This window comes from Homo sapiens, chromosome 4 (genome assembly GCF_000001405.40).
Source record: "Homo sapiens chromosome 4, GRCh38.p14 Primary Assembly".
Taxonomy (NCBI): domain Eukaryota; kingdom Metazoa; phylum Chordata; class Mammalia; order Primates; family Hominidae; genus Homo; species Homo sapiens.
Window position 1 is genome coordinate 68,706,220 of NC_000004.12, and position 9,552 is coordinate 68,715,771.

Consider the following 9,552-nt stretch of genomic DNA (forward strand, 5'->3'; position numbering starts at 1 on the left):
CTTGGGCCATTTTAGTCACTACTTTTGTCCTCAAGTTAAAACTACCTTGACTTCTAATAGATTAATATTGCTTGTTTACATAATGAATTATATAATATATACTCATTTGTGTCTTTTTTTGGGTAGAAGTTATTGGCTAATTCCATTGCTGTAATATGATTCAGTCAATTGACAAATACCACAGATTATCTCCTATTTTTATGACTGATGGATATTTGGGTTGTTAAGATTTTTGAACACTATTACTAATTCTGGGGTAAGCAAATGTGTGTATATCATTAGATATACATATTAATACATTTTTGATGGGTATATACTTGAGAGATGAGTTGCTGAGAAAAAGATGCATGTAGAATTATGATGTTTTGTTGACTAGCTTTTTAAATACACAAATTTAATTTCCAAAATTTAGAGTTGTTTTTTAAGTTATAATTTTTTGGATAATTTCGAATTTATTTCTAGTATGGCTAGAGCATTTCCTTTTTATGCTTTTGAATCTTATCACATTTGCTAAGTCCTGATTTTTGGCCCAGCAGAAGTTCAATTCACTAACTATTCCATATACTCTTAATAAACGTATATTCTCAATATACATTCACACTCACCTCCACACCTCCACACATAAAAATGTGTGTGTATATATATATATATACACACATATACACAAACTTACTATATATATACACAATACATATATATGTATACACACACATATATACAATAGGTTATATTTATGCTCTTCAAATGTTTATTTTTAAGTCACTTTTTTTTCTCTGTTTAAATTTAGTATGAGTTCTAGTAGATTCACTTTTAAATCTACTATCTTATTCTGTATTTTATTTTCTGTTTTCCAATCTGCTGTATGTTTCTTTTCTAATTCTTTCCTGTTTGCTTTTAAACTATTTTTAATCATTCACTGTCTTATTATCTTCCTGGTAAGGTATTTTCAGTATATTTTCTAAGATGGTACCTCCTTATATATATTGACAATAGTAATCAATAGTCACAGCATTTTCTACATTATTTCTTTTGGAGCACAGAAAAATTATTACAGATTTATTTTCTCAATATTAAAACTTTGTGCTTCAAGGGACATCTTCAATAAAGTAAAAAAAAAGAATCAACCTATAAAGAGTGGGAGAAAATATTTAAAAATCATAGACTGACAAGGCATTCCACCAATAATATAAAAATAATTCTTATGAATCAATAATAAGATAAAAATGTTAGAAATGTTCAAAAGATAGGAATAAAATTTTCTCAAAAGAAGACGAATGACTTGCCAGTAAGTGCATGAAAAGATGGTTATGTCTTTAGCCACAAGGAAAATGCAAATTAAATCCACAATGAAAGATCATTTTATATCCACTGGGATCCCTGTAACAAAAAGATAGGAGATAACAAGTGTAGGGAAGAGCATGAAGAAATTGGAACCCTCCTGTACAGCTAGAAGTAACGAAAAACGGTGCAAGTACTTTGAAAAACAGTTTAGCAGTTCTTCATAAACATCAACTTTCCATATGGCTCAGAAATTCCACTCCTAGTATCTTCTCAAAATTAGTGAAAACAACTTTTTTCACAAAAAATATGTATAGCAGTGTTTATAAGAGCTAAAATTGGAAATAACTGAAATGTCTGAAAGCTGATAAATGGGTAAATTCAAAATGGTACATTCATCAAAGAATATTAGCAATAAAAAGAAAAAATGTTCTGACACTTTCAACAATATGGGTGAAACTAATAAAAGACATTGTACTAAGTCAAAGAAATCATTTATAGAACACTGTAAATTGTATGATTTAATTTACATGAAATATCCAGAGAGAATAATCTATTGAGAAAGTAAGTTGATATTTCCCTAGGACTGGAGGTTTATCAACAGTGATTTTATGCATTTTGAGGTTTATTTTAGGGTGATAAAAATGTTCAAAAATTATATTATGGTGATGGCTTTGTAACTATGTAAATGTACTAACTACTTTTAGATCTCACTTTTAAATAGGTAAATATTATGCTATGCAAATTGTATCTTAAAATAATGATAATACTAAAAATACATTATTGAGCATGAATACAGTTATACTTTCAGAAATTTTATGTATTGAATTGAAATACTTTATTTTATTTCTCCAAGTTCATTATTTCATTGTATTATAATCCATCATTCAAAAAACTTATATTTTAAACAATTATCTATATATGTTTAAAAATATTTGTGTGTAGAAGGTTGTTACAGTAATTGGTGACCCATTAAATATATGGGATCAAATGTAACTAAAATAATTGGTGAAAAATAAAAGCAGGTTTCAAGTTGGTTAAATTATTTAAATTCTTTCAAAATTGGTCTCCTAAAAGGGGTAAGACATGTATTCAGTGTTGTCAAAAGAATCTGTAAATACCACATAGTAAAAAAAATTGTCATACTCACACAGGGTCATTAATGACTGTCTTCAGTGCATTGAGCAAATCTGTACTTGACATGGTCCTGATGTCCACATTGAGGGCCTTCATGTGAGCAATGTTATCAGGTTGATCTGCAAACAAAGGAATGCCCACCATAGGGATCCCATGGTAGATTGCCTCATAGATGCCACTGGTTTCACCATGAGTCATAAAAGATTTAGTTTTTGGATGACCTAGGATTGGATAAATTTTAGCAAAATTATTCATAAGACTAAAATGAGAAATGCACAATAGAATGCTCTGAAAGGGGCAGTGTCTACTAAATAACAGATTATTATACACATCAAACTCCATTAGAATTGCTTTCGGATTTCAGAGAAAGAAGCACCTAATTCTTCTGGAGGTAAGTGAAGGCTACATGAAGAGGTGGGGGCGTGTGTGACTTCAGACTCAAAAAATGAATTGATATTGCCAGGTGGACAAAATGAAAAAGCACATTCTGAATGAAAAAAATGTGCAAAAAAAAAGAGAAAAGAAAATCAATAATATTGTGTATGTTAGAGCATTTTCCCTTAAATACATACTGCGGTCTGAGTGGGATATGTGGTGTATGCAAGGCAACAGGGAGTGTGGTGGTGGTATTGGAATAGAAGAAAGGCAGGCCACATTACATCAGGAAACGTGTTATCACTTTATGATAAAGATTGAGGATTTAGGCCGGGTGCGGAGGCTCATGCCTATAATCCCAGCACTTTGAGAGGCAGAGGTGGGTGGATCACCTGAGGTCAGGAGTTCGAGACCAGCCTGGCCAACATGGTGAAACCTGGTCTCTACTAAAAATACAAAAATTAGAGAGGCTTGGTGGCAGGTGCCTGTAATCCCAGCTACTCGGGAAGCTGAGGCAGGAGAATCGCTTGAACCTGGGAGGTGAAGGTTGCAGTGAGCCAAGGTCATGCCAATGCACTCCAGCCTGGGGACAAGAGTGAGACTTCATCTCAAAAAAAAAAAAAGATTGAGGATTTATTTTCAGAAAATGCAGAGTTATTGGTAATAAAAGAGGCACTGTTATTTTTTAGTGTCTTTTGAAATTAACCCTGAAGTAGGGAAAAGGACAGGTGTAAAGCTGTACAAATAGGAGACAGAGAGACAATCCAGGAAGTTATTGGGAAACCCCGTGAGAGGTAATTATATCTGAAATAAAGATAATTTGATTCTGAACATAAAGAATGTGAGTGTCTATAATAAAATACCAACTATATAGTTATTTTCCTGGTAAGACTGGAAAATAAATATAAAGTAGTTAGCCTTTATATTTGAGTTTTTTGATAATAAATGTTCCGTAAGTTTCTTTCAGGTTGAACTATCCTTCTAATTAGCTGTTAGTCATATATTCAGTATTTGTTCTGCAGAGTATTACCAAGAAGGTCATTCTGGGATATCCACTTGTACAGCTGAGTATTGGATGCTAAAGTATTTGGTCTCTTTCCATCCACAGAACCTGTTGGGGTAAAGAAAATATCTTGTTCCATGAGTAGAATGCCAAAGCTATAAGATGTTAGAACTCTAAAGAAATTGTCAATCAACTAGTTAAACCCCTTCCATATAATAGATGAAAAAACGAGAACAAGCAATTTTAGGAAATGAGTACTACTAAAAGACTATTGAATATCCACATTTCATGTCTTTTATTATCAATTTGGTATATTAGAAAATCATGATGTTTTCAACAGAGAAGCTTAGACACTTGAGAGTATCAATAAAAAATTCAAAAATTTAAGAAATTATTAGACAGTCATTATAATTCTACTGTAAAATACAGTAACAAATTAGTGACAACCTATACATTTATTTTATGTATTTTATACTACCTGTAATCTTCCAAATTTAATGTTAGTTTATTTCTTGAGTGAAATGAGAAGTGTTACTTATATATATTTTTCTGTAAGTTATTTTGTTAGTGTTTGACATCTTTGATTTATAAAAAACAAAATCTATAAAATCAGCTACCTGTGAGAAATAAATCAGTGCTACATAGGTAGTACATATAACTTCTTGTAGATTACACATTACCCAGCACTACATCCAAGAAAAATTTCAAGTGACAATTTCTTTCTTTTCTTTTCTTTTTTCTTTTCTTTCTTTCTTTTTTTTTTTTTTTGAGATGGAGTCTTGCTCTGTTGCCCAGGCTGGAGTGCAGTGGCACCATCTCAGCTCACTGCAACCCTCGCCTCCTGGGTTCAAGCGATTTTTCTGCCTCAGCCTCCCAAGTAGCTGGGATTACAGGCATGCACTGCCATGCCCAGCTAATTTTTATATTTTTTAGTAGAGACGGGGTTTCACCATGTTGGCCGGGCTGGTCTCGAACTCCTGACCTCAAGTGATCTGCCCACCTAGGCATCCCAAAGTGCAAGTGGCAATTTCTGAGTCAAATTCAAAGTACTATCATTTTGCTAGTTTTGGAAATTCTTCCAATGTAGGCGAAAAGAGCCAATTGGCAATTTATGAATAAGAATATACACACTAAAAATTGTAAAATTATATTTTGCTAAATTTTGCTTAACTGATCATTAACACTTAGATGCTGCTATAAAGCATCGACAGCATAGATTAATATGGGCTGCTTTAGCCAAGCCATACCCATAGACAGTACCAAAATAAGATACTGATTTTAGATTCCCCAAGCAATCCTTATAAACTGGAGTGTAATTTACAAGTGTTTTCCTTGTATTTGCTATGTGAGTGTTAAAGTAACTTTGTGTTTCCAGAAAAAAATTAGCATAGGTCATTAGGAGAAGGCTATGTCAGAGAGGAAACTAAAAAGTAACTCACAAATACACAAAGACTTCAAGTGTATTCTGCATACTACAAAATAAGTTCCTACTATATTTCATGGAGTGAGGGCATCTGAACCTCTTTCCATGTCTGGCTTCCTTCTGCTTGACTCCTTCTTATATTCCCTTCTCCTTCCTCCGTTGGGAGGAGGTGTTTTTCTGATGGTTAGAGCAGAGGCTTTATGGGACCACATTTTATAATGCACGGAGTCTACCCTAAAAGCAGGATTCTGTTCCCTCCTTTTCTATCATATTTTCCTGTTTAAGACATTAGCAAGGCCCAGTAAACAGGGCAGGCAAGTTCTTCTGCTTCTCTAAATCTACTTGGCTAGGTGGATACCTCCAGAATAGCGGTTTGTCAGCCTGGACATCTTTTCTCTGAATGCATTCTGAATTGCCTACTAAATAGGTCTATTCCAAAATGTACAGGAAGTACAGGAGACCAGATTACCTAGCAAGCCTAAATTGAATGATGCATTTCAGACTTTTTTCAATACCTTATTGTTATTGTAATAGTGCAGTAACTGATTAAAATGTAAGTGATTTTAAATAATATCTATAGTGTATACCATGTTCTCAGGAAACTTGTAAGCAAAAGGGACAAATGACAGGGCAGAATTTGGTGATTTCTATGTACATGCCTACAATACTATGATAATACCACAACTTCACCTGCACCTCTTAAATATATTTTTTCTGATCACAATATTAATGTCAGAATTTTTATCAATCAAACACACCCTCGTTATTTTAGTATCTTCCATATATATTTTTGTTTTTGAACCAATATCTGAGATAATTAGAGCTATCATATCAGTTAGTTTTTCTGGCAGAAAATTTCTGTGATTGGACTCTTTACAGAGTTTAACAGACTCATTCAGTAGCTGTCCACCATTAAGACATTTTATCTAACCTTTCGTGGAATCTGGGCAAGAGCTGATGCAATCACGTTGGCCCTTTCTTCTGTGATGTTACTGACCATAGACTTAAGCAAGACTGCCACGACACCATTTTCTCCAGAGCTCTGCACAAACTCTTCCATTTTCTGTGAAGAATTTGTTCTATCACAAAAGAGTGTCAGCATAGCAAACACTATAGAAAAGATTAGTACATACATCTAAGAAGAGAAAATCAAGCATTATCAGAAATTTTTGGAGTAATGGCTATTTTTTAACTGACCTAATCTCTTTCTTTGGAAGAAGTTATGGAATATGATATACATGGCATCTGTTATGGCTATTTGTGTAAATATGTGTGTCTGTAAAAGGAAAAGATGAAAAACAACTATGACACTATAGAAGAAGGAGACAATGCTAGAAAATATTATACCCAGACTCTTCATTTACAATACTGTAATTACTAATATGGGTTCTTGGAAGGTGGCATTTGTTGTGTTTAATTCCATATGTTGTAGTTCTACTAAATTCCTTGTGTCTATTAAGGCAGGGTTTTTTGTTTGTTTGTTTGTTTGTTCTTTCTGTAGAGTATTTTTAGTTGGGAGTCATTGGAACCATTACCTGGCTATGAGCAGTGAGGAAAAGTTACTATTGAAATAATTTTATATGTCTATTTCTTTAGCTCTGTAATTCTTTATACCTCATTTAAAACTTGTCAGATTATGTCTTTTTCCCTAAAAAAAAATCTTTAAAAGCTGAAGTTTAATAATGATGGAGATTCAAGAGTCTGATACTGTGGTGTGAAATTTCTGTGAACTAGTCCTGAGAATCCCATTTATAATACAGAATTATGCAGTATATAGTTACATAACTGAGTGATTGTATTTCTCAGGTCATTGTTTAAATATTACTAAGACACTTTTTTTCCTGAAATCACACTGCATAAAATGATATGCTACTGGCCAGGCATGGTGGCTCACACCTGTAATCCTAGCACTTTGGGAGGTCGAGATGGGCAGATCACCAGGTCAAGAGATTGGGACCATCCTGGCCAACATGGTGAAACTCTGTCTCTACTAAAAATACAAAAATTAGCTGGGCGTGGTGGCACACACCTGTAATCCCAGATACTCGGGAGGCTGCGGCAGGAGAATTGCTTGAACCCGGGAGGTGGAGGTTGCAGTGAGCCGAGATTGTGCCGCTGCACTCCAGCCTGGGCGACCCAGCGAGACTCCATCTCAAAACAAAACAAAACAAAACAAACAAACCAAACAAACAACTGATGTGCTACCTATAACTGCCTGTGAGGGACCCTCATCATCACTTTTCTGTGTCTCACAGGGGCACTTAATCCTCAGTGGAAGAATCTACCAGTCATTTTTCCAGTGGAGATCTCTTCACTATCTTGAGTAGCTCATTCACACAATATAAAGCCCTTGTTGAATATGTGTTTGCTTGAAATTTATTGAGAATTACTCTGAATTGTGGTTTCCCTTATGTTCTCATTTGTAAATGTAAATGCATAGTGTAATTCCACATTGCTCAGTGCATACGCCTATCAAGACAAAATAAAGAGAAAGAGAAATGTAGCGCCAAAAGTTTTCAGTATATAATGTCAAAATTGAATACCCATCTTTTTGTTGTTGTTGTTTCTTTTGTTTTCCATTTATTATTTATTTATTTTCTCTGTAAAATAATGATGAACCCATTCTGACATAACCGGTATACTTTCAGATCCTAAACATGGGAGGTAAACTTTCTTTTAAAAACTTGTTTAAAAAAAGAAATCCTAAAGTTTGTGTATGCACAACATATTTTGCCAAGTATTTTTCAAAAATATAATTTGAGCCTTATGACATTAGTTTTAATTGGAGAGTCACTGTACTACTATTCCAGGTAGTTCTTGGGGCTCCCAGGTATTCTGTGTGACTCGTTACCTGTGTGAACACAAAGTATCTGAAACAGTTCTCAATTTAGAAAGTTTATTTTGCCAAGGATAAGGACATGCTCATGACACTGCCTCAGAAAGTCTCAATGACACGTGCTCAAGGTGGTTGGGGCACAGCTTGGTTTTACACATTTTAGCAGACATGAGACATCAATCAATATGCGTATGACGTACATTGGTTTGGTCAGGAAAGGTGGGGCAATTCAAAGTGATGCCTTCATGTCATAGATAAGAGTTAAAAGGTTGCATTCTTTTTTGGGTCTTAGATGAGCCTTTTGCTGAATACACAGTATACATATGAGAGAAGGGTTGAGAAATAGTCACTTATGCCTTAGTCTGACTCAGTAAATCTGCATTTTTTCCATAAACAATGGTGAAGGGATGGCTTTGAGTTCTGTCCTCTTTTGTCCCTCACCTGTGAAGATAAGCTATCAATTTACATTTCCAGGGTGAAATTCAACAGAAATGTTTCAGGTTAAAGATTTTGAGGCCCACAAGGAATTTCCTCTTGGGAAGATTGTAAGGGAGGTATGTAACTTAAAAACAACAACAACAACAACAACAACAAAAACCCAACTTTGTAGCTATTTTATTTAGGAATAAAATGGGAGGCAGGTTTGGCTGATACAGTTTCCAGCTTGACTTCCCTTTGACTTAGTGACTTTGGGTTTTCAAGATTATTTTTCTTTCAGACCTGTAGCCACATTTAATGGAACTTGTGTTTGATGTTTTTTCTCAATGCCTCGCTGCCCAGAGTCTTCTTCATCCACCCAATATTGAGGTAGCATATTGTCTGTTTATACACTCATCAGTGATCTCATTCTGGGATATCTTCATGAAAATAATATATCAGTGTACAAAATATTAGAGTATGAAAAGCTTAAAAAAATTAAATTTCCCTCATACTCTCTGTCTAGAGCTATTCCTGATTTAAATTTGTATGCTTTTATTATGGTTTTTATTCTATTTATATAATTCACTGTGATGTTTATTTAGATAATTTTAATCTTATTGTATATTCCTTTTCATCCTGCATAAAAATTGTGATCTAGTTCTATTCATCATTTTGTTTCTCAGTTTCCGACAATTCTTGTATTATAGCTGACACTGTAATTATACATATTTTGATAAAATGATTGTAATGGCATAGAATGCATATTGTATACATTTTTACATAGTACCCAATAGTTTTTCAGGCCTTCTGCCCTTCTCTTCCCTCTGTAGTAGTCCCCACTGTCTATTGTTCCCATTTTTGTCTATGTGTGCCCCAAGCTTAGCTCCCACTTTTAAGTGAGAACACATAGTATTTAGTTTTCTGTTTCTGGGTTAATTATTCTGGTTCATGTGTGTGTGTGTGTGCACAAATCTCCATGTATTTGTTTGTTTATCTTGGCTTTAATCTGTCATTTTATTTTCTTTTTTCAAATGTTGTCTGCCTATCTATCTATATATTTATCTATCTAATCTATCTATC

The 9,552-nt window shown here is 33.9% G+C and overlaps 1 pseudogene; it reads right to left on the reverse strand.

Moving 5' to 3' along the window:
- On the reverse strand, positions 2,429–6,281 carry LOC728811 (UDP glucuronosyltransferase family 2 member B15 pseudogene; annotated as a pseudogene).